The sequence below is a fragment of the Homo sapiens genome, chromosome 11 (assembly GCF_000001405.40).
Source record: "Homo sapiens chromosome 11, GRCh38.p14 Primary Assembly".
Lineage (NCBI taxonomy): Eukaryota > Metazoa > Chordata > Mammalia > Primates > Hominidae > Homo > Homo sapiens.
The window spans coordinates 130,909,025-130,934,235 of record NC_000011.10 but is presented as its reverse complement, the minus strand read 5'-3'; the positions used below and the strand labels follow the sequence as shown (position 1 = coordinate 130,934,235).

Here is a 25,211-nt window from a genome sequence, read left to right as displayed (position 1 = left end):
TAGGTATTTTATATATTTGTTTTTATAAAAGTAATATTTTATATATAATATTACTGTCCTGTTTCATATATATAATAAAACATATATGTTTATATATGTGTATATATAAAAACATGTTTATATATGTTATATATATGACAGGACAGTAATATTTTATATATATAAACAGGATAGTAATATATATACATATATAAAACAGGACAGTAATATTATATATATAATATTATGTATGTATGTACATACATACTTACATCCTCCATCTCCTGGAGGCCTTTGACCTACCCAGTTCTCTTCCCCTTTTTTGCTTGTAGTTATCAAAAATGACTTTCAAGTGTGTTGAGAATGCAAGAACATGAGCTAAAAAAGAATTTGCCAGAACAGCCTGGGCTGTTCCTTTCCCTCCTAGAATAGGACGTCCTACAGTGATTTAGCCCAGCGTCTAATGTTGCCTCCAAGGTATGAAATCCATGTGGGCCCCAGGGTATAAACCCCAGAGTAGACTGCTTTCCAGGGTCCCTCAGCGGTGGTGCAAAGCTGAGCACACACAGAAAAGATTCCATCTTTTGGGCAGCTTTCTGAGGCATGGGAGAGCAGCGTGCCATAAATCCTAAGCTTCTGTGGCTTCATGCTGCCTACCGAAGAGTGATGAAGCTGCTTCACTGGGCTTGTTGTGTGATTTGTGCAAGCAGTAGAAACTGCAGGCCAGGATGCGGGGGGCTGAAGTCGTAACCAGTGCACAGGTTCCTGCTTTAATACAACTTTTGGTTCTGTTTCTGTGGAGAACCCTGACTGATATATATCTTAGTATCAAGAGTGAGTGGCTCTAGAGGAACGAAATCTTAATGGTGAGTTTTCTGAATTGTTCCTAGGGCTTCCGGAGTTGGTTGTCTTATCTAACACTATCTAAAGGCACTAATAACACTCCTATGGAAGAAGGGCACAGATAGTCCATGCCATGATGTGGCAACAGACAGATGCAAAATGCAAAATACCACCATTGGACACCTCAAATCACACACCTATAATAAAAGGTGAGATTCTGTGGGACCATGTATTAAAACCACGATTGCTTTTGCACCAACCTAATATTTGGTCCTTAGAACATTTTAGTTCAGCTAACTAGTATAATGAAGCTAGTTGTTTGCTCCTAACTGTGAGGAAAAGGATGAGCTTAATCTCAGGGCTCCAAATTCCCAGCTCAAGCTCAGCGTAAATGAACTTGAAGTGTTAATGTCAGTGGTCCCCAACATTTTTGGCACCAGAAACCTGTTTTGCAGAAGACAATTTTTCCCTGGACCCTTAGGGTGGGATGGTTTTGGGATGATTCAAGGGCATTACATTAATTAGGCACTTCATTTCTATTATTATTACATTGTGATATATAATGAAGTAATTACACAACTTACCATAATGTAGAAACAGTGGGAGCCCTGAGTGTGTTTTCCTGAAACCAGACAGTCCCACTGGGGATGACTGGAGACAGTCCCACTGGGGATGATTGGAGACAGTGACAGATCATCAGGCATTAGTTAGATTCTTATAAGAAGTGCTCAACCTGGATTCCTCACATGCGCAGTTCACAATGGGGTTCACACCCCTGTGAGAATCTAATGCCACTGACAGGAGGTGGAGCTCAGGCAGTAATGCAAGCAATGGGGAGCAGCTATAAATACAGATGAAGATTTGCTGGTTTGCCTACCACTCACCTCCTGCTGTGCAGCCTGGTTCCTAACAGGCCCATGAAGCTGGGGATATCTGACCCTTAAATTCCACTGAATCTTCTTTGCCAATAGAAGCAGCAGCCCTCCCACCTTTGTATGAGGAGGTTAGCCCTGCTTTTCCTGAGGGAGCTTAATGTCCTCCCCAGGCAATTGCCTTGTAAGACACTGCTGACTCTCCTCAGAACCGTCCCACCACCCTTCTTTGCTTCTAGGCCTTTAGCTAGATTCAAGTCCCAGCAGGCCTCAAAGGGTGCAATGCAAGGTATGACCCATGAGGTGGTATGCTACACTCCAAATGAAGCGGATGTGTTTTAAATTAATACACGCAGAAACCTGCAGAATACATGTGTGAATGAATACTAAACATGTGGGAAAATGGTAAAGGGAACATAAAGTTGCATCAGGCTAAATTTATTGATACGGGCTCTCTGAGCAGAATCTAGATTCAAAGCTATAGCTCAAGGGGTTAGACAAGGCTCTAAATGTTTGTTTGGTTGGTTGGCTGGAGCATGAGCCAAAAGTGGGCTAACACTAAGTGAAGGACTTCTTCCTTGCTATGCGGTACAGGAAGGTACCCAAAGGCTTGGGGAGATTAGAATTTCAGAGTGCATTTATCAAATAAGGCCTGCTTACCCACCCTGGGAAGGTCCAAGGGACATGATTTTCACAACTATGAGAAATAAATTGTGAAGGTAGCCCTAGCATCCTTCAAGAGGTCTGTAGTCACTCTTCTCTGCAGGCCAGAAATAACAGTAGGAACTGCTACCTCAGAGGCGGGATACTTACATGCAATGTAAGAGATTGCAAGATCCAGAGAGAACTGGATCACAGGGTAGAAGGGGCCAAGTGGTGGCACTTAATCACCAAAAATGAGGTCCATGTGGCTACCATTATGGATAGCAGAGTAAAAGCAGCAAGCAGAATAGTTTAACCCACAGAGACCTATGGTATCACTAGTTGATTGTTGTCCTTAAAAATAAAATAAAATAGATGGGCAGTCTACTAAATTAAGCAGAAGAGTTCTACAGCAAGTGAAGAGAAGTCTAATAACTTGAATCATGAGAACAGAGTTATGGCCCCTCAATCAATTCCCAAACTGACCCAGTTTTACCAGGGTAACTATGCATTGGGGAAAAGGAAATGATCAGACTTTTGGAGGATTACTAAACACTGGCTCTAAACTGTCACTAATTCCAGGAGACCCAAAATGTCACTGTGGCCCTTCAGTCAGAGTACAGGCTTATGGAGATCAGGTGATCAATGAAGTTTTAGCTAAGGTACATCTCACCATGGGTCCACACTGTAGTTATTTCTGCAGTCCGGGAATGCATACTTGGAATGGACATCTCAGCAGCTGGCAGGATCCCTGGGAAAATAGTCAAACAAAAGCAATACCACATCCCTTGAAGGATTTCAGAGATTGGTGCCACTTCAAGGACTTGAGTTTGGGGGCTGGGGGGTGATGTTCACCACATTCCCACTCTTCTGTTTGGAAAGTTGAAACAGACAGACCTTGGAGAATGCAGTGCGTTATTATAAACTCAGCCAGGTGCTGATCCCAATTGCACCTGCTATTCCAGATGTTATTTCCTTGCTTGAAAAAATTGACATAAACCCTGACACCTGGTATACAGTTATTAAGCTGGAAAATGTTTTTTTCTCCATACGTGTTACTAAAGACCACTAGCAGCCATTTACTTTCAACTTGCAATACACCTTCACTCTCTCATTTCAGGAGTGTATCAGCTCTCCAGTCCTACGTCATAATTTAGTCCACAGAGATCTTGATCACTTTTCCTTTCACCAAGACATTGCACAGGTCCCTTACATTGATGGCGTGATTATATTATGTTGATTGGATCTAGTAAGTTAGAAGTGGCAGCTACTGTGGATTAATTGCTAAGATACATTTGTATGTCAGAGGATGAGAAATAACTCTGATAAAAATTCAGATGTCTTCCCTATCCTTGAAATTTCTAGGAGTCTAGTTGTGTAACACATGTCAAAATATCCCTAAATATCTTATGCACAATGCCTAGTGACCCTCTAGATTTAGAAGAAAAAATATTTATCATATGGGTGTGTAACTCCAATCCATTTATTGAATCACCCAAACAGCTACTATTTCTTAGTGGGGCCTAGAACAAGAGAAGGCTCTGCGACAGGTCCAAACTGACATGAAAGCTGCCCTGCAAGTTAGGCCCAGTGATCCATCCGATCCAATGGTTGTTGGGGAGTCAATGTCAGACAAAGATGTTATCTGGAGTGTTTGGCTGGCATATCACAATGTTGACTCAGGACTTTATATTAAAGGTGTATCACAGTGTAGACTCGGGATTTTAAAGCAAAGCCCTGCCATCATATGCACATGAGTCTCCTTTTGAGGAACAGTTTTTGGCTTGAAACAGGTTTTTAGTAGAGACTGAATGCTCAGCCACGTTCACCTGCAATCTGAGTTGCCCATTATGAGCTGAGTATTTATGCTTTATGGCAGATGAACAAGCCATAAAGCTGGGTGTACAAAGTGGTACTCCATTACCAAATTGAAGTGGTATAAACATAATTGGGCCCAAGTAGACCCTGAAGTTGAAGGTATAAGTAAGTTACATGAAGAAGTGGCCCAAATGCCTATAGTTTCTCTCCTGCCACAGTGCCTTCTCTCTCCCAGCCTGTACTTATGGCCTCATGGGGAGTTACCCATAATCAGTTGATGGAGGAAGAGAAAACTCAGGCTTGGTTTACAGGCGATTCTGCCTGATACACAAGCACCATGCAGAATGGACAACTGCAGTACTAGAGCCCGTTTCTGAGACACCCCTGAAAATAGTGGTGAGGGGAAATCTTTCCATGGAGCAGAATTCAAGCTGTGCACGTAGTTGTTCATTTTGCTTGGAAGGTGTATTAATCAGAGTTTTCCAGAAAGACGGAACCAACAAGATATATATATAGAGTTGACACCCAAAATTAACCATCACAGAAGGAAAGTATCCAGACATGATTGTACATGAATAGGATAAAATCCATATGTATTCACACATATATATGTACGTATTACATATATACCCATATATGTGAGGGGCTTTATTTGGGGAACTGGCTCATGTGATTATGGAAACTGAGAAGTTTCATGAGAATTCATCTGCAAGCTGGAGACCCTGGGACTCTGAGAGCATGCCTCAATCCAAGTCCAAGAACCTCAGAACACAGGAAAGCCCATGGTGTAACTCTCAGTCCTAACAGAATGAAGGCCTGAGAACCTGGGAGGTGAGGGGTGCTGGTGTAAGTCCTAGAGTTCAAAGTCCAGAGAGCCTGGAGTTCTGATGTCCAAGGACAGGAGAAGAAAAGTGCACCCCAGCTCTAGCAGAGAGAAGAAACCACCGATTTGTTCTATTGGAGCCCCCAGCTGATTGGATGGTACCAGTCACATCGAGAGAGGACCTTCCCCACTCAGCTCATCGACTCATGTGCCAGTCTTCTCTGAGAACACCACCATGCACACACCCAGAAATCATGCATTACCAGTTCTCTACATAGTCCTTCATCCAGTCAAGTTGACAACCAAAATTAACCATCCCAGAAGGAAAGTGGCCAGTCGTGCAATTATATACCAACTCATGGGCTGTGGCCAATGGTGAGGCTAGATGGTCAGGGGCTTGGCTGGACCATGATTGGAAAGTTGGTGACAAAGAGGTGTGGGAAGAGGCGTGAAAAAGTGGGCTTCTTCAAAATTAAGAACTTTTGTTCTTCAAAAGATAATGTAAAGCAAGCCACAGGCTGGGAGAAGGTACTGGTAAAGCACTTGCATCTATAATATAAAAAGAACTTTTTCAACTCAGTAGTAATTTTAAAAATTCAATAAAAACAGGCAGAAGATTATAACACACATTTCATCAAAAATATATATACAGGTATCAATAAGCACATTGTAAGATGTTCAGCATTGTTATTCATTAGAATAATGCAAATAAAAACACAATTGCATATTAGAATGTTTAAAATAAAAAAGACCATATAAAAAAAGCCCCATACCAAGTGTGTGAAAGGCTGTGGAGTAACTGGGACCCTCATATACTCCTGGAGGGAATATAAAATGGTATAATTACTTTAGAAAACAGGTTATCAGCCTCTTAAATAGTTCAACATATGCCTATCACACAACCCTATCATATTACTGATAGGTACAGGTGAAGTATCCCTTATTCAAAATGCTTGAGACCAGAAGTGCTTCGGATTTTGAATTTTTTTGAATGTTTGAATATTTGCATATACATAATAAGAAATCTTTGGAGTAGGACTCAAATCTAAATACAAAATTCATTTATGTTTCATATACACCTTATACACATAGCCTAAAGTAATTTTACACAATATTTTCAATAATTATAAACAAAAACAAAATTTTGACTGTGTTATGACTAAGACCTGTCACGTGAGGTCACATATGGAATTTTCCACTTGTGGCATCATGTCAGTGCTTTGAAAGTTTTGGATTTGGGAGTATTTCAGATTTTGAATTTTTGGGTTAGGAATGCTTAACCTCTATTTTCCCAAGAGTAATGAAAGGACATCTCCAAAGGCTTGCACAGAAATGCTCACACCAGCTTTATTTGTAATAAACAAAAACAAAAAAGTGAGACAATATTCATCAACAGGTAAAGAATAAACTCATTATCATACATCCATACTATGGAATACTACTCAGCTATAAAAATATAAACTACTGATTCATACGACAACGTGGATGCACCTCAAAATAATTATGCATGCTGAGTGAGAGAAGTCAGACACGAAAAGGTACATTATATGTGATTTCATTTATGTAAAATTCTGGAAAAGACAAACTAGTCTAAAGTGACAGGAAGCAAATCAGTGGTTGCTTGGGAAAGGGGGCAGGGTGATGCTGGGAGAGCAGGAGGAAAGTTGAAGATGATGGATGTGTTAGTTACCTTTATTGTGGTGATGGTTTCATTGGCATATATTTATGTCAAAACTTATCAAAGTGTGCACTTTAAGTATTTGCAATTTATCTTATGTCAATTATACTTCAATAGAGCTGTTAAAATATTTAAATATAAGAAAATAACTGAACCGGGGAAACGCTTCTGATGTTTCCCATTCAGAATAATATTTTGAGGTAAGGAAATGCCTTCCTATAATTGTTACTTGAAATCATGAACGAATATTGAATATTGTCAAACGTTTCTACCACATCTACTGAGACAACGTGTAGATTTTCTCATTTAATGTAGGGGCTGATGATTACAGAGTTTTTTTGTTTTGTGGTTTTTGAGAGAGTCTCTCTCTGTCGCCCAGGCTGGAGCGCAGTGGCGTGATCTCGGCTCACTGCAGCCTCTGCCTCCTGGGTTCAAGCCATTCTCCCACCTCAGCCTCCCAAGCAGTTGGGATTACAGGCACCAGCCACCACACCTGACTAATTTTTATATTTTTGGTTGAGACGGGGTTTCACCATGTTCCCCAGCCTGGTCTCAAACTCCTGAGCTAAAGCCATCTGCCTGCCTCGGCCTCCTAAAGTGCTGGGATTACCGGAGTGAGTCACCATGCCTGGCCAATTACAGAGTTTTTAATGTTAAACCACCCTTGTGTTATCTTTTTTTTTTTTTTTTTTTTTTTTGAGACGGAGTCTCGTTCTGTCTCCCAGGCTGGAGTGCAGTGGCGCGATCTCGGCTCCCTGCAAGCTCCGCCTCCCGGGTTCACGCCATTCTCCTGCCTCGGCCTCCCGAGTAGCTGGGACTACAGGCGCCCGCCACCGCGCCCGGCTAATTTTTTGTATTTTTAGTAGAGACGGGGTTTCACCTAAGTACCCTGCTGGATTTAGTTGGCTAATATTTTGTTTAAGAAATGTTCGCATCTAGCTGGATGTGGTGGCTCACACATGTAATCCCAGCACTTCCGGAGGCTGAGGTGGGAGAATCGTTTGAGGCCAGGAGTTTGAGGCCAGCCTGGACAACATGGCGAGATCCCCTTCATCTCTACAAAAAAATTTAAAAATTAGTCCCTGGACATGGTGGTTTGTGCCTGTAGCCCCAGCTACTGAGGAGGTTGGGGTGGGAGGATCCCTTGAGCCTAGGAGGATGAGGAGGCAGCAGCGAGCTGAGATCGCGCCACCGCAATACAGCCTAGGTGACAGAGTAAGATTCTGTTTCAAAAAAAAAAAGAAAAAAAGAAAAGAAAAGAAAAAAGAAAGAAATGTTTACATTTAAAAGTTGATGAGAGAGGTTAACCCATACATTTTCTTTCTTTCTCTGTCTTGTCTAGTCTTGATTTCAAGGTTACACTATATTCGTGAGTTGCAAAGTATGTACTTTTAAGAAATCTTAAGGAGTTTATATAAGATTATATAAATTTGGAATGACCTATTCTATTTGGAATAGGTTGGGAGAATTGGCCTATAAAATTATCTGGTATTTGCTTTGAGAGAAACCTTAAAATGTTACTTAATTTCTCAATAGGCGTAGATTTATTCAAACATCCTATTTCTTCTTAGATTATTTTGTAATTTATATTTTTCTAAAACTTTTTCCATTTTGTTTTAGAGTTTAAATTTGCCGTCATTAAGTTATTCCTTTAATTCTACTGCATACATAATTATGTCTCCTTTATCAGGCTCCATATTATTTACTATTTATCTCTTTTTCATTCTCAATCAATTTACTTAAATTTTTTTCTTTTTTACTGGTCTTTTAAAACAATAAACTTTTGGCCTTTTGATCTACTTTATATTATTGATGCTTCCTGAATCTACGTTTTCATCCAGTTTTAGAACACTATCTGCCAAAATCTCTATAAATTTTTATCCTCCTCCATTCTCTTTATTATCTTCCTGGAACTCTTGATCATATAAATATTAGAATTTTTATTTTAGCATTCATTTCTCTTCATTTTTCTTTCATATATTCAGTTCCCTAGTTCTCTATGCTATAGCCTAAATAATTTCTTTCAACAAATACTGTAGGTCATTAATTTTTTCTTTGGCTATATATAATCAACTATTTAACACATACATTAAGTATTTTATTTCAGTAGTCCTATTTTTCATTTATAAAAGTTTCATTTGGCTATGTTTTGAAACTGTATGGGCATCTTTGACAATCTGTTATTGTTAGAACATACTTGTATTTCATTCATTTTGAGCTCATACATGGATCTTCTATCTTAAGCAGCAGACAATATTCATATCCACAGTCCTTGTGTTCTCAATCTGTTGTTTATTTTTTCTGATTCTCACTCATGTTAGCCTTCCTTCTCATAATTGATGGTCTTGGATTTAGAGTTCATAGTACTCTATATTAAATGTGTGCTTATTTCATGGTCTTACCATGAGAATATTTTCTTCCAGAATGGATTTCTTTTGTGTCTTCCAGAAGCTTGGAAATGCCACTGACCTGGAACTTCTTCAAACCTCTTCAAGGATTGTGGCTCCAAGTGGAGTCAGGGGCTCAGTTTCACCTCCTCCTGCTGGAACAAGGCTCAGAACCTGAATTACAGATCTGATAAGGACGTCTGTCCCTGGGGCCACCCTGCTCCTTTCATCTGCTCTCCACTGACAGTTCTATCCTCATCTCAGAGTTGTTTTCTGTTTCGTTTTGCTCTTATTTAATAGTTTTGTTTTTAGAGTGGGATGGGATAGTGTACCTTGGACTTCTCACCTATTTTGTGTCCTCATTTGAGCCCATTAACTCATCAATAACTGTTTCCTATTCAGTGTCTGGTTGTTCTGCAGAGGGAAGGGCTATTCGAGCATTTAGTATTGTATGCAGCCAGATGAGGAAGTTAAGCCTGGATCTCCTTAACTTGTAGTTCAGTGCTGTTTCCACTTTTGAATGAAATGAAAAAAAATATTGGGAACTATCAAGATTATTATCTTCCTTTTTAGTATCCTCATAATCAAAATATGACCATTCACATAACCCACAGATAGAAAAGAGGTAGTATGAACTGAACCCTGTCCCTTCAAAACTCATATGTTGAAGCCATAGCCCTCAGTATACCTCAGAATGTGGCTCTATTTGGAGATAGGCATGTAAAGAGGTAATTAGGATTAAATAAGGTCTTATGGGTGAGCCCTAATCGAATATGACTGTATCCCTATAAGAAGAGGAAGAGTCACCAGGGATGCGTGTGCACAGAGGGAAGACGCTGAAGAGGTGGCCTTCTGCTAGGCAAGAAGGGAGGCCTCAGGAGAAACCAAATCTGCCAACACCTTGATCTTAGACTTCCAGCCTCCAGAACTGTGAGAAATAAATTTCTGTTGTTTAAACCACCCAGCATGTAGTAGTTTGTTCTGAGCCGTAGCAAACAAGTATGGGAGCTTACTCAGTATTTCTCATGTCTCCCTTATTCCTAGTACGACCTGTTACTCTTGTCTTTTTTTTTTAACCTTTTTTTATTATTTATTTATTTATTTATTTATGTTTGAGACGGACTCTCACTCTGTCGCTATGCTGGAGTGCAGTGGCACGATCTCAGCTCACTGCAACTTCTGCCTCCCAGGTTCAAGCAATTCTCCTGCCTCAGCTTCCCGAGTAGCTGGGACTACAGGCGCGCCACCACACCCAGCTAATTTTTGTATTTTTAGTAGAGACGGGGTTTCACCATGTTGGCCAGGATGGTCTCGATCTCTTGACTTGGTGATCCACCCGCCTCGGCCTCCCAAAGTGCTGGGATTACAGGCGTGAGCCACCGCGCCGGGCCTGTTACTCTTGTCTTTATGGGAAATTCAACCCACCCTTTAAGGCCAGCTCAAAAGTCATCTCTTCTGTGCAACTGTTCCTAATTTTCTGCCTTCCCATATTTTGACATATTTTGATTATAGCACTTTTTACATTGTGTCAATATCCATCTCTTGCATTAGACTGTGAATTCTTTAAGAAGATAAACTATATAAAGACCATGTTTGAATTCCCAATATCTGGCTTAATCCTCGTGGGGTGAATGGATAGACATGGGACTGACAAATGAATAAGTAAGATGCAGTTTCTCCTTAAGATGCCATACTTTCTGCTGCCCTCTGGTGGCTATTTTGCTCCATCACCGCGCCTAAGGCAGGATGTGGAGATGCTCCTGCCAATATCCTAGTTCTTCATGGATGCTTTTAGATGATTCTTTCCCAAATTACACACAATTTCCTTCTTTTCTTTTGGTATCACCATACTTTCTTTACTCCTTGTATTACTCTGTTCTCATATTGCTATAAAGAACTACCTTAGACTGGGTAATTTAAGAAGAAAAGAGATTTAATTGACTCACAGTTCGGCATGGCTGGGGAGGCCTCAGGGAACTTAAAATCATGGCAGAAGGCAAAGGGGAAGGAAGCATATCTTCATAAGACAGCAGGAGAGAGAGAGTAAAGGGGGAGGCACTACACACTTTTAAACAACCAGATCCCACGAGAACTCTATCACGAAACAGCGCTAGGGTGACGGTGCTAACTCATTAGAAACCACCCCCATGATCCAATCACCTCCCACCAGGCCCCACCTCCAAAACTCAGGATCACAGTGCTACATGAGATTTGGGTGGGGACACAGAGCCAAACCATATCACTCCTCGTATTACATCACCTTCCAACTTCCTGGTCATTCTTCTCACTTACTGAGAACATTTGTACCAAGATCCTAGTCCTCTCTACCCTAACATTAGTGACTTCCTTGACCATGTAGATCATCCTTCTCCAAAACATAGACTCAAAATGTCTCCTTCAACCCTAGCCCTAGGTTATCCAGACCCTATTTCAGAAACTCATCTGGCCACACCCAGACTTTATTACCACAAAAACATTTTCATCTTTAGGCATGTAGCCTCTGTAGTAGGTCACATAATGCCCCCTTCCACCAAAATATGTTCACATCTGGACCCCCAGAACCTGTGGGTATGTTGTTTTACTTGGTAAAAGAAACAAAAGATAAGACTAAGTTAAGGGTCTTGAGATGGGAAGTTTCTCCTAGATAACTGCGGAGGCTCAAAGTAATCACAGGGCCATTTTAAGAAGAAGGCAGACCATCCTGGCCAACATGGTGAAACCCCATCTCTACTAAAAATGCAAAAATTAGCTGGGTGTGGTGGCACACGCCTGTAATCCCAGCTACTTGGGAGGCTGAGGCAGGAGAATCACTTGAACCCAGGAGGTGGAGGTTGCAGTGAGCCGAGATCGCCCCACTGCACTCCAGCCTGGTGACAGAGAGAGACTCCATCAAAAAAAAAAAAAAAAGGCAGGAGGGTCAAGGTGGGAGAAAGAGATGTGACCACAGAAGCAGAGGTTGGAGCATGTGGTGCCATAAGCCAAAGATCACAGGCAGCCTGTAGAAGCTGGAAAGGACAAAAAAGAGATTTTCCCTTAGAGCCTCCAACAGGAACAAGCCCTCTCAATCCATCTTAGACTCCTGACTTTCAGAAATGTAAGAGAATAAACATGTTTGCTGCAAGCTGCTAAGTTGATGGTCATTTGGTAGAGCAGCCATAAGAACAAACACAGGCTCTGATGGACCAATCTTGAGCCACAGGTCTTTTTCTTCTGGCTCTTACTCACTTGCTCCCAGTACAGCTCATCCTCTCCTCACAGCTGTTTGTCTCTCTCCTGGCTTCGTTTTCCTTCCCAGATACCTAGACTCCATGATTTTCCACTGTAACCACTCTCTTCCCAGGATGTGAAGGTCCTAATCTTTTCTCCTTTCACTTCATCTACCTTGATACCTCCTGCTTGCTTCTCTTTTATACCGAGGATACTTGATATGGCTTGGCTGGTTCCCCACCCAAATCTCATCTTGAATTCCCCCATGTTGTGGGAAGGACCCAGTGGGAGGCAATTGAATCATGGAGGTAAGTTTTTTTCCATGCTGTTCTCATGATAGTGAATAAGTCTCACAAGATCTGATGGTTTTATAAAGAAGAGTTCCCCTCCACAAGTTCATTTCTCTTTTTGCCTGCTGCCATCCATGGAAGACATGCTCTTCCTTGCCTTCCACCATGATTGTGAGGCTTCCCCAGCCACACGGAACTGTAAGTCCAATTAAACCTCTTTCTTCTGTAAATTGCCCAGTCTCAGGCATGTCTTTATTAGCAGCATGAAAAGGAACTAATACAGTAAATTGTTACCAGTAGAGTGGGGCTGCAGAAAAGATACCTGAAAATGTGGAAGCAGCTTTGGGACTGGGTAACTGGCAGAGGCTGGAACAGTTTGGAGGGCTCAGAAGAAGGCAGGGAAATGTGGAAAAGTTTGGAACTCCCTAGAGACTTGTAGAAAGGCTTTGGCCAAAATGCTGACAATGATATGGACAATGAAATCCAGACTGAGGTGGTCTCAGATGGAGATGAGGAACTTATTGGGAACTGGAGCAAAGGTGACTCTTGTTAAGTTTTAGTAAAGAGACTGGTGACATTTTGTCCCCGTTCTAGAGATTTTGGAACTTTGAACTTGAGAGAGATGATTTAGGATATCCGGCAGAAAAAAATTTCTAAGTAGCAAAGCGTTCAAGAAGTGATTTGGGTGCTGTTAAAAGCATTCAGTTTTATAAGGGAAGCATAGCATAAAAGTTTGGAAGATGTGCAGCCTGACAATGCAATAGAAAAGAAAATCCCATTTTCTGAGGAGAAATTCAAGCCCGCTGCAGAAATTTGCATAAGAAACGAGCAGCTGAATGTTAATCCCCAAGACAATGTGGAAAATGTCTCCAGGGCATGTCAGAGATCTTTCTTTGCGGCAGCCCATCCCATCACAGGCCTAGAGGTCTAGAAGGAAAATAGAGTTTCATAGGCCGGGTCCAGGGTCCTGGTGCTGTGTGTAGTCTAGGGACTTGGTGCCCTGCATCCCAGCTGCTCCAGCCATGGCTGAAAGGGCCCAACGTAGAGTTTAGGCTGTGGCTTCAGAGGGTGCAAGCCTCAAGGCTTGGCAGCTTCCACATGATGTTGAGCCTGTGGGTGCACAAAAGTCAAGAACTATGGTTTGGAAAACTCCATCTAGATTTCAAAGGATGTATGGAAATGCCTAGATGCCCGGGCAGAAGTTTGCTTCAGCAGCTTGGCCCTCATGAAGAACCTCTGCTGGTCAGTGAGGAAGGGAAATGTGGGGTGAAAGCCCCCACACAGAGTCCCTACTTGGGCACCACCTAGTGGATCTGTGAGAGGAGGGCCACTGTCCTCCAGACTGCAGAATGATAGATTGACCAACAGCTTGCACCATTCACCTTGAAAAGCCAGACACTCAATGCCAGCTCGTGAAAGTAGCTGGGAGAGAGGCTCTACCCTGCAAAGCCACAGGAGTGGAGCTGCCCAAGACCATGGGAACCCACTTTTTGAATCAATTTTGGAGTGTTAAGATTTGACTGCCCCACTGGATTTCGGACTTTCATGGGGCCTGCAGCCCCTTTGTTTTGGCCATTTATCCCATTTGAAATGGCTGTATTTACCCAATACCTGTACCCCCATAGTATCTAGGAAGTAACTAACTTGCTTTCGATTTTGGAAGCTCATGGGCAGAAGGGACTTGCCTTGTCTTGGATGAGACTTTGGACTGTGGAATTCTGAGATAATGCTGAAATGAGTTAAGACTTTGAGGGACTGTTGGGAAGGAATGATTGGTTTTGAAATGTGAGGATATGAAATTTGGGAGGGGCCAGGGGTGGAATGATATGGTTTGGTTCTGTGTCTCCACCCAAATCTCATCGTGAATTGTAACTCCCACAATTCCAATGTGTCATGGGAGGAACCCGGTAGGGGATAATTCAATCATGGGGGCAAGTCTTTCCCATTGTTCTCATGATAGTGAAGAAGTCTCATGAGACTGATGGTTTTATAAAGAAGAGTTCTCCCACACAAGTTCATTTCTCTTTTTGCCTGCTGCCATTCACGGAAGATGTGACTTGCTCCTCCTTGCCTTCTGCCATAATTGTGAGTCTTCTCCAGCCATGTGGAACTGCAAGTCCAATTAAGCCTCTTTCTTTTGTAAATTGCCCAGGCTCCGGTGTGTCTTTATCAGCAGCATGAAAATGGACTAATACAATACTAAACACCTCCAGAGAAAATAACTCAACCATATGTATTGGTGCCACTACAAAAAGGTCCCTCAGCCCCACCTTCTCTCTTTTTTTTTTTTTTTAGACGGAGTCTCGCACTGTTGCCCGGGCTACTGGAGTGCAATGGCACAATCTCGGATCACTGCAATCTCCACCTCCTGGATTCACGCGATTCTCCTGCCTCAGCCCTCCGAGTAGCTGGGATTACAGGAGCACACCATCACACCTGGCTAATTTTTTTGTATTTTTAGTAAAGACGGGGTTTCACTATGTTAGCCATACTGGTCTTGAACTCCTGATCTCGTGATCTGCCTGCCTCAGCTTCCCAAAGTGCTAGGATTACAGGCATGAGCCACTGCGCCCAGCCCCCACTTCATCTTTTTACCTGACCTTCGATAGCTCCCTTTCTATATCCCACAGCAATAATTCCATACCATCGCCTCTTCTCACTCACTTGCCCCATCACTGAGCTTCTCTTTAGGAAGCCTCCTGGTCTTCTATTTTGAGAGAAAATTCAAGTGGGGTGCGGGCTGGCTCTGGCAGGGCCTATGTCACGGGCCCCCCTGCTCTCATGGTCTCTGCCTGTTTCTTATGAGCAGGCCTCTGCCTGAAAGACCTTCCTTCTGTTTGCCCCTTGCTCTCGCTACCCAACATTTCCTAAAATACACTCAATTCTTTTTCATTTCCCAACTTAAGGGAAAACTGTCTATGAGCCACCCCCCTCCACAGCTGACCACCCGCTTTGTGTTTCGATTTTATTGTATGCACTTCTATTACAACACATCAGAACACATCACATTACACACGTGATCATGTTTCATTACGTTTATATATTTATGTGTCTCTCCTTTAACTAGACTGAGAGTCCCTTGAGGAGAATTATTGTATCTTATTTGTCTTGTTTTCTCCAACACTCTAGCACTATGCCTTTAATGTTTTGAGAAATAGGGAAAAGGAAAGAAGGAAGGACGTCTCCAGATGGTGAGTGGTGTGGCCAAGTCTCCCCACCCCACATACACACACCAGGGCACATCAGTCCTGACTCTCACCTCCTCCCAGTGATTAATCTGTTTGGAGACCAGGGTCTGCCCAGACCCCCAGGCAGGAGCTCACACCCGTCCAAATGACAAGTGCACGGGCATGTCCATCAAACCCGCTTCAGAATCAGGAAGGCACTCTTGGCTACCTTGATGCTCCAGACCATCTGGTCAGGTGGCATAGCGCCCACTTGCAAGGTCACTTCCTTACTGCCCTGAACACTCCAGATTATGCTGCCAAGTAAACTTTCTCTTTGAACTGCCACAGGAAGTCTTCAGCACCGTCGGTAGTCCCTTCATCATTCACATTTCTGTTTTAGCTCCCAACTAGGTGGCAGGGACTTTTCTCCAGAGCATTGTTGCCATTTTCTAAGTGCTCCTGAGGACATTAGAATGGTCTGGGAAGGTAGAGGGGCAGAGCCCACTTCTCGGGTTCCTTTTCTGCGGGAAGGCAGGCAGCAGTGAAAAGGTATGGACCGTGAAACCGTGGATTCACATTCTGCCATCTCACGGGAGTGCCCAGTCTGCTTAGTGGACACTGATCCTAAATCAAACCATTTGCTTTAGAAGTGATGAATCGTAAACTACGGGTCACATCTAAATGATGGCTTCTTTCGTATTCAAAGGAAGTCTCTGCCCCAACAGCAGCAATGGACGAGACAGGAAGCTGCAACGCACTTCTTGTTGGCAGAGTTTTGGGTTGGGATTTGTTTGAAGATTCCTTTAAACATCTAGGGAGTAGTCCATGATGATGAAAGACTGCTCACAGCACAGAGAAGGTGGACGAAGGGCAACCATGAGCAGCTCTGTGCAAACGATGCGAATCCTATGCCTAAATGGAAAGGAGACCCACCCTGCGGGCACAGCTCCTAGGGCCCAAGGTGGACATGGAAGCTGGCTTCACGCAAAACTGACACTAACACTTTTGACACCTGGTCAGTGCTTCCGGTATTTTGTCTTCCTATAGGTTCCTGTGTAGACAAGTGAAGTCTAATTTGCTAAAACCAAAAACAATCCAACATAGAGCATATTCCAAAGCAAATATATTACAGGATTATCTGAAAGGACACCTCTATCTCTGCTTTCCTTTTCTATGTTTTTGGGGAGGATAAGGCGAGAAGAGATAGAGGGAAATAGAAACCCTCATCCTTGAAGACTCAGCAGAAAGGCACCTTTTCTGTGAGCTTCTCCTTAACCATTGCAACCCACAGTGATCTCTCCTTCCCCTGAATTCCTATAAGATTTTGTATTTTACTATATCGCACGCTGACTGGCATTACTAGATAGCCAATCGCGTTCAAAGCGCTGGCATCCCCAGTTAGCAGGAGGTCCTGGAGGACAAGGTCTGCTTCTATTCGTCCACGCTGCCTCTCACATTGAAGACAGCAGATGCTCAAAATATTTGATTGTTTGTGTAATGCCACCAGCAAATAACCCTCAATCACAAATTTGATTTTGTGATACAGTATATGAAATGTACAACATAAATCTATCTCTGTATCGTTTCATGCCTTATATTCTGCAATTCCTGACAACAAATGAGGGTCTTTGTGCTGGGGACGCGGGGTACCGGCTCTAGGGGAAACCGGATAAATGTTAAGACACATCAGGCCAATGAAACTTCGCCTCCATGAAATTAAAATAAACCGGATTATTGACAGCGTGCCTAAGCAGTAAAGGACAGGCTTCATTTAATAACCAGAACTAGGACGCGTTTTAAAGCGCCTGGAAGTCTGGGTCTTAGCGGTGATTGCTGCGGCGGCTGTTTCGTGGCACTTCGGAAATCTGCGCCAGCTCTTGGCGAGCACGCGCCCCGTGCGCGCTCAGGCTCACGCTCAGGCTCAGAGACTACCTCGCGCAGGGCCGTCAGGGCGGCTCCTCGCCAGCAGAGGGCGCCGGGCAGCGCCGCTCCTCGGGGCGCGCGCGGACGCTCTCCCAGCATGCCTCGCTCCCGTCGACGTCGACCCGGAAGCTGTCGCCGGCGGCCGGCCGGCGGTCAGCCTTCACACAGGCCCGGCTGCGGAGCGCAGTCGCCCAGGTTTACGGCGGCAGAGGGCCGAGGCTCCCGGAGAGGACCGCGATGAGTCCACTTCAGGTCGGGGCTGAGTGTGGGCGCGCGGTTCCCGGCGGCGTGTGACCCAGTCTTCGCCGGCCGCTGCCCGCTGCGTGTGTAAGTGTCCGTGGGCCCCAGGGCCTTGCAGCGCCCGCCCCGAGGCCCCGAAGAGGCCTTCCGCCTGGGGCAGTGTGAAGGCCACAGAGTTTTCCTCCAAAGCCACACCTCAGCTGGAAGGGGCGAGTTGGAGGGCTCTGTTAGTGGTAGCCATGGGGAGACGCGGAGCTGCAGCTGTCGCTTTGCAGTGCCTGTAGGACTTTGAGGGCCTGGAGCCCCGGTTCCCTGAACAGCACCCAGATCGCCCCATATCTGAGACACAGTTCATGCCCCCCTTCCCTAACTCTGAAGTAAAATCTTGAGGGCTGTCATCTGGGGAAGCCACCTTGTCCGTTCAGCCATGAAGACAGAAACAGTGCCACCGTTCCAGGAAACTCCAGCTGGATCGAGCTGTCACCTCAATAACCTGTTGAGTAGCCGGAAGCTGATGGCTGTGGGGGTCTTGCTTGGCTGGCTCCTGGTCATACACCTTCTGGTCAACGTGTGGCTGCTGTGCCTTCTGTCGGCATTGCTAGTGGTGCTGGGAGGATGGCTGGGCTCCAGCCTCGCTGGAGTGGCTTCAGGTCGACTGCATCTGGAACGCTTCATCCCGTTGGCCACCTGTCCTCCATGCCCTGAGGCAGAAAGGCAGCTGGAACGGGAGATCAACCGCACCATCCAGATGATTATTCGAGATTTTGTGTTATCTTGGTACCGTTCCGTGAGCCAGGAGCCAGCCTTTGAGGAAGAAATGGAGGCAGCCATGAAAGGGTTGGTCCAGGAGCTTCGGAGAAGGATGAGCGTGATGGACAGTCATGCTGTTGCCCAGAGTGTTCTGACTCTCTGCGGTTGTCACCTGCAGAGCTACATTCAGGCAAAGGAGGCCACTGCAGGGAAGAATGGTCCAGTTGAGCCTTCCCACCTCTGGGAGGCTTACTGCCGGGCGACTGCCCCACATCCTGCTGTGCACAGCCCCAGTGCTGAAGTCACCTATACGCGTGGCGTTGTGAATTTGTTGCTTCAAGGGCTGGTGCCCAAGCCCCACTTGGAGACTCGTACCGGACGCCATGTAGTGGTCGAACTCATCACATGCAATGTAATCTTACCACTGATCAGCAGGCTGTCAGATCCTGACTGGATCCACCTTGTACTCGTGGGTATCTTTTCCAAGGCCAGAGATCCAGCACCCTGCCCAGCCAGTGCCCCCGAACAGCCCTCAGTGCCGACATCTCTGCCACTGATTGCTGAGGTAGAGCAGCTTCCAGAAGGGAGAGCTTCTCCAGTAGCAGCCCCAGTATTCCTAAGTTACAGTGAGCCAGAGGGTTCTGCAGGCCCCTCTCCAGAGGTTGAAGAAGGCCACGAAGCTGTAGAGGGAGATTTGGGTGGGATGTGTGAAGAAAGAAAAGTAGGAAACAACTCATCTCATTTCCTACAGCCAAATGTTCGAGGTCCCCTGTTCTTATGTGAAGACTCAGAGCTGGAGTCTCCGCTGTCTGAACTGGGCAAAGAAACCATCATGCTCATGACTCCAGGCAGCTTTCTCTCTGACAGGATTCAGGATGCCCTGTGTGCCCTAGAGAGTTCCCAGGCTCTGGAACCCAAAGATGGTGAGGCATCTGAAGGAGCAGAGGCTGAGGAGGGTCCAGGGACAGAAACAGAGACAGGCCTGCCGGTCTCCACACTGAATTCCTGCCCAGAGATCCATATTGACACAGCAGACAAGGAGATAGAACAAGGAGATGTTACCGCCTCTGTTACAGCTTTGCTGGAGGGGCCAGAAAAGACCTGCCCCTCACGGCCGTCATGCTTAGAGAAGGATCTCACCAATGATGTGAGCTCCCTTGATCCTACTCTGCCACCAGTTCTGCTTTCCTCCTCTCCACCTGGTCCTCTCAGCTCAGCCACCTTCAGCTTTGAGCCCCTAAGCAGTCCCGATGGTCCAGTTATCATCCAGAACCTTCGTATCACTGGCACCATTACAGCCCGAGAGCACAGTGGCACTGGATTCCACCCATACACACTCTATACTGTGAAGGTAACAGGATTAAAGCTGTGGGTGCTCACCCGGGCTAGGAGTGGGTTTGGAAAGCAGTCATGAAGCAAATGTTCTTGGGGGAGAGATGCTGTTAGTTTGAAGTGGTTCTTTCAATAGGCATCTATCTCTGTGAATGGTCTGAAGCTAATATGTAAGGCAGAGTAGCGTTTATCCTGTACTCACACAAGCAATCCTGGAACCTCAGGGCTGCTAGAATGCTGAGGGTTATATTTTCAGTGGTTCCCAAACTTGGCTGCACCTCAAAATCACTTGAGCTGCCTTTCAGATATACAGATTCTGACAGACTCTGTTGGATTCTGTATGAGAATTTCTAAGGAGGGGGTCCCTGGATTCTGTATTTTATTTATTTTCAAATAGAACTCTCCAGATAACATAGAGTCAGCCTGTCCTAAGGCCATCTTGGGGAATTGCCTCTCTAATCCAACCAACCCTCTTCATGTTATCTCTTGTCAAGTTGTTCCCAAGTCTGCTTACACACCTCCAAGAGTCAAAAACTTGCTATCTTCTGAGATAGACATAGGTAAATAACCTACCTTCCTAAAACAAAGTACAAAATGTACCAGTATTTTGAAAAAGAAATCAGCAGGGAAGAAGTTGAGAAAGAAAATTCTTGGACAAGATCCTACCCATTGGATTTTACTTGCCTTCCACACTTGAATTTCTCTCATTTGAGTCCACAAGCTACCACCAGGGACAGCCTGCTTGCTACACTCCTCCGAACTCCCAATCCAACTAAGAGGGAAAAGACCTTCCTTGATCTGCTCAACACAGCTGCATCATGACATAGCATTTTAGAAAGTAACATTATGACATTTTCAAGTAAGACGGAATGGAAGTAATTAGAAATGCATATGGGTGAACACACAGACACACACTCATTATAGGCAAATTGTAGAAGTACAGATGTCTGGTCATAAAATAACTGAGACTAGCCTCAAAGGACTGGTATAACTTTGTTAACATTTTCCTGCCTTTTTGTTCTAATTCTGGATGCCCCTATGCCATGCACCTTTCTCACATTTAAGTGTTGGCTTCTGGTTATTTCATCTTTTTTTAATGACTATTCCAATACTGACATAAAACAGCAGGTTTTTTCCCTCCTCATTAGCAGAAAAATTAAGTTGATGGATAGAATGTTTAAGTTCCCAGTCTTTCTCCCATTATTTGTTCTTTTTTGTTGTTGGCTAGATTTTGACATCTGCTACTGCTTCAATTAAGCATTAGAAAAGAGTAAAGTAAAAAATGAGAACGAAATAATATAGCCAATTATGAGTAGTTTGAAATTGGGTTTAGATTTTTATATGGACATATAACTGATTTTAAATTGTATATCAATATTATTATACTTTCTGATAGTAAATAGTTTTCGGTTTATGTGATGGAAGTAACCATAACGGTGTTGAAAATTGGCCCTCGAGGAGCAGCATATTCCACAGAAAGCCTCATAGTTCCAAATGCTCCAGGCTTGAGAGCCCCACCCTGAATGCCACCTGTTGCTCTTACTTGGTCTTTCCTTCTCAGTGCTGTTCTGAGGGACTGCTTTGCTCACATCAGCTCATAATGAATACCCTGTCTCCAGAAAATTGTAAAGCACCAGCCACAACTCCCACCAACGAGGAGGTAGTTTTTTCCACCTCTTGCCCACAGTATACCTCAACCGAAAAATAATAGCCCATTCCTAATGAGAAGGCGCACATATATACTTCTCCCACAGCGTTTCATTGTGTCTTAACTACCCTGTCAAGAAGTGTGCCCCCATGCTGAGTTGCAGATTCCATGCCATCCGTGGTATTCACTCTTTGGGGAACATGAGATATAAGTCGTCTTTTCCACATACCAGCCCTCTAAGCTTAGGAAGACAGTGGACTTTGACCCCTTATCACATCTCCAATTTTCATGTGACTTCTGTGATACAGATGATACGTACTTAGGAAAAATTCAGTTTAGCTCTAAGAATAACAATTAGGAAAATTAATCTGCGTGAAACAAAACAAATACCCTTTAATTTATTCCAGATAAACAAATGATTTATATCTGCTGTTTGGATTACTTCTTCTTCCCTTAACTAATATAAATAATCACGGGAGAGTATAATGGAAAAATGGTTTGCCCCTTATGATGTTTAGCCCTGTAATTTAAAGGTGATAGAGGCAGTATCATTTTTATGGATGTTATGCCTTCTATTCAAATATTCATTTGAAAAACAGTTATGTAGCCATTTTTATAAGTCAAGAAAGTATCTGGGAGAGGGAGCTTTCAGATGAAAGTAGTAGTGCGGAGGAGTGAAACTCATTTCTGACTTTCTAAGCAATTAGATATAGGAGGTTCTGGAACAGAATAGGAACATACTCCCTCCCTTTGTTCTTAGTTTCGTACTCTTGCTATGTGGCCATTGACCAAGTAGTCAGTAAAGCCAGAATAGAAGATTGCTGAAACCCGGCTGATTGAGTCAATCAATTTGTTCGTTGAACAGTACGAGACAGCCCTTGACGGTGAAAACAGCAGCGGCCTGCAGCAGCTGGCCTACCACACTGTGAATCGTCGCTATCGGGAGTTCTTGAATCTGCAGACCCGTCTGGAGGAGAAACCAGATCTACGAAAGTTCATCAAAAGTCAGGAGTTTCCCCAACCCCTACTGCCCGCTTGCTTCCCACGTCGAGCCACGCTGATTGGCCTGTTGGTTTATGGGAGGGATCGGGGAGGAGAATGCCGTTTCAAGGTTCTCTGCTCCCTGGATTTGCTTCAGGAGTTTTGAAGTTTAGTGCTGGACAGCAGCAATCACATTCTTTCAGAGGTAGTCCTTTACTGCCAACTGCTTTGTTCTGGAGCCCCATCTAGTTTAAGATTAAAAAATAAGTGTTCACATTTCCACCTGTGCCTGTAAGTTGGTGTGAGGAGTTAAATTAACTTTTCCAGATTCATAGATTGGTGGTTCTTAAATATTAAAATATTACACAGAAGTTGTTGCCACCTTCTTTCCTTAACACCCAGATCTTTTGTGTGCTGTTATGACAACTCTCAGGCATGGGGAACCTTTTTTTTTTTTTTTTGACATGGAGTCTCGCTCTGTCCCCCATGCTGGAGTGCAATGGTGCAATCTCGGCTCACTGCAACCTCCGCCTCCCAGGTTCAGGCGATTCTCCTGCCTCAGCCTCCAGAGTAGCTAGGATTACAGGCGCCCGCCACCACGCCTGGCTAATTTTTGTATTTTTAGTAGAGATGGGGTTTCACCATGTTGGTCAGGCTGGTCTTGAACTCCTGACCTCAAGCAATCTACCCACCTCGGCCTCCTAAAGTGCTGGGATTACAGATGTGAGCTACTACGCCCAGCCAAATATTTTTTAATGTAATAAAATTTCACTCTTAAGGATTAGTAACTGGTTACTTTGTTTTTTAAAAATGATTACCCAAATAGTTGAATAAGTTTGGGCATAAATTATGTATTTTCTTTCTTAACACAATAGCTAATACTGAGCCAAGCTTGAAAATATGCGCCAGGTTCTCTCCTAAGCACTTTACACGTATTAGCTCTTTTAATGCTCCCGTCAGCCTGTGAGATAGGTGCCCTCATTATCCTCATCTTGTAGAAGAGAAACAGAGTCAGAAAGATAACACAAATGGCCTAAGATCATCATTATAGTAGGGATTGAGCCCAGATTTAAACTTGGGTCTCTGGACTTCAGAGCCCTCTCTTGTAACAATTTAGTGTTATATGGATCATATGGATCGTATGTATATTTGGAAGTCCTGAAATTGTTTTTTTTAATCCAAGGAAATATATTCAATAGTTCTGTTTTCTTTATATGTTTTATATGGAATAGCTCTCTGTGAATGTTAAATGAGTGAATATTTTGATTTTTTTTTTTTTTGGAAGATGTGAAGGGTCCTAAAAAGCTCTTTCCAGATCTTCCATTGGGAAACATGGACAGTGACAGAGTAGAAGCCCGTAAGAGCCTCCTAGAATCATTCCTAAAGGTCAGCATCCTTCTCTTTTGGCCTTGTTCTCACTTTAACCTGGGTGTCTAACCCCAGAACACCCAAGCCAAGGTGGAGAGATTTGGGGACTGGAATTTCTCTTTAAAATGTGTGTGTGTTTTACTTTTGCAGCAACTCTGTGCCATTCCGGAGATCGCTAACAGTGAGGAGGTGCAGGAGTTCCTTGCTCTGAACACAGATGCTCGTATTGCCTTTGTCAAGAAACCATTTATGGTCTCTAGAATAGACAAGGTACCAGCAGGGCCACTGTGCTCAGCTTTAGTTTTGATCTATAAATGGGGAGGATTCATCAGAATGGAGGCAGTCCTTGAAAAATAAGAGCAGTAGGGTGTGGGAAGGGGCAGCACAGAGCCGTCAATAGAACATGGACTTAAATTGTCAAGACCTGTTGCCAAATATTGGTTGAATCATCAGCTTGCTGAATCACAGGAAACAGCTGCTGGGAAACAGTACCCCAACACTCTTAAGTGTACACATATCTCCTGGGGGTATCATTATATTGTTGTACTGTTGGAGGCATGTGAAGATTGATCTGTGTCTTCACAGATAGCTGGCATGAGGGGTGGTCTTTCAGAGGGTAAAGTTCATTTCCAGTGTTGGGTCACCCAGGAAAGAGAGCCTAAGACGACCTGAGGCTGGATTTAGAGTGGTGTCATGGTTCTCCGCTAGAGAACAGAGTATGGAGAGAATTGTATCTTTTTCAAGAGGTTATCTCAGCACCTATGGAGATGGTGGAAGAAGGACATTTGTGTAACATGTCAGAGCTTGTAAGCAGTGATTACCAACTGATATGAGCATCTCTGGGGCAGAAGTCTGAGGCTTATGTTTATCAAAAGTGATGTGTGTTTTATAGGGTTGGGAAACACTGACACATTGGCGGAAGAGTAGCCTCCCTCTTCTCATCTAGGCTTGGAGCAACAAATAAAATAGAATTTCATGTAGTAGGTGTTAGGGGATATCCACTGCTATGGAAAAAACTACAAACTAAAAAGGGATCAACTGGGTAAATGCCCAGAGTTCCATGCAGATATCATTCATCCATTATTTCCACATCTACTTACTGGATGCCTGTTTTCAGCCAGACACTCTACCAGCTGCTGTTCATACATCAGTGAATGAGACAGATGAGGACCTCCCCACCCTCACAGACTACAGTTCTGTGATCCTGGAGAACAAGTTGTATTTTCTAAGCTGCATTATCTAAATGCATGCATCCTCAAGTGT

General features: G+C 43.9%; 1 protein-coding gene across 17 annotated transcripts in view, besides 2 other annotated features; it reads left to right on the top strand.

Moving 5' to 3' along the window:
* Positions 17,565-17,844: a silencer, noted in NCBI's record as "silent region_4082". NCBI's record gives its function as "represses an Ori minimal core promoter by ATAC-STARR-seq in GM12878 lymphoblastoid cells {active_cell/tissue: GM12878}" and the evidence as "EXISTENCE:reporter gene assay evidence [ECO:0000049][PMID:35858748]".
* Positions 17,757-25,211, top strand: part of SNX19 (sorting nexin 19) — a 50,230-nt gene continuing 42,775 nt past the window's right edge. For 7 of the 17 annotated variants that reach the window (NR_144939.2, NM_001347919.2, NM_014758.3 and 4 more), the window contains exons 1-4: positions 17,757-19,970; positions 22,465-22,603; positions 23,866-23,966; positions 24,099-24,218. Coding sequence is in view for 14 of the 17 variants with exons in the window: in NM_001347919.2 (NP_001334848.2) it covers positions 18,297-19,970; positions 22,465-22,603; positions 23,866-23,966; positions 24,099-24,218 (2,034 nt within the window). In the remaining 3 variants the exon portion in view is untranslated. Of the gene's footprint in view, positions 19,971-22,464; positions 22,786-23,865; positions 23,967-24,098; positions 24,219-25,211 lie in introns of all 17 variants that reach the window. The other 10 variants (NM_001347926.2, NM_001301089.2, NM_001347923.2 and 7 more) reach the window with 7 other exon arrangements.
* Positions 17,965-18,014: an enhancer, noted in NCBI's record as "active region_5756". NCBI's record gives its function as "activates an Ori minimal core promoter by ATAC-STARR-seq in GM12878 lymphoblastoid cells {active_cell/tissue: GM12878}" and the evidence as "EXISTENCE:reporter gene assay evidence [ECO:0000049][PMID:35858748]".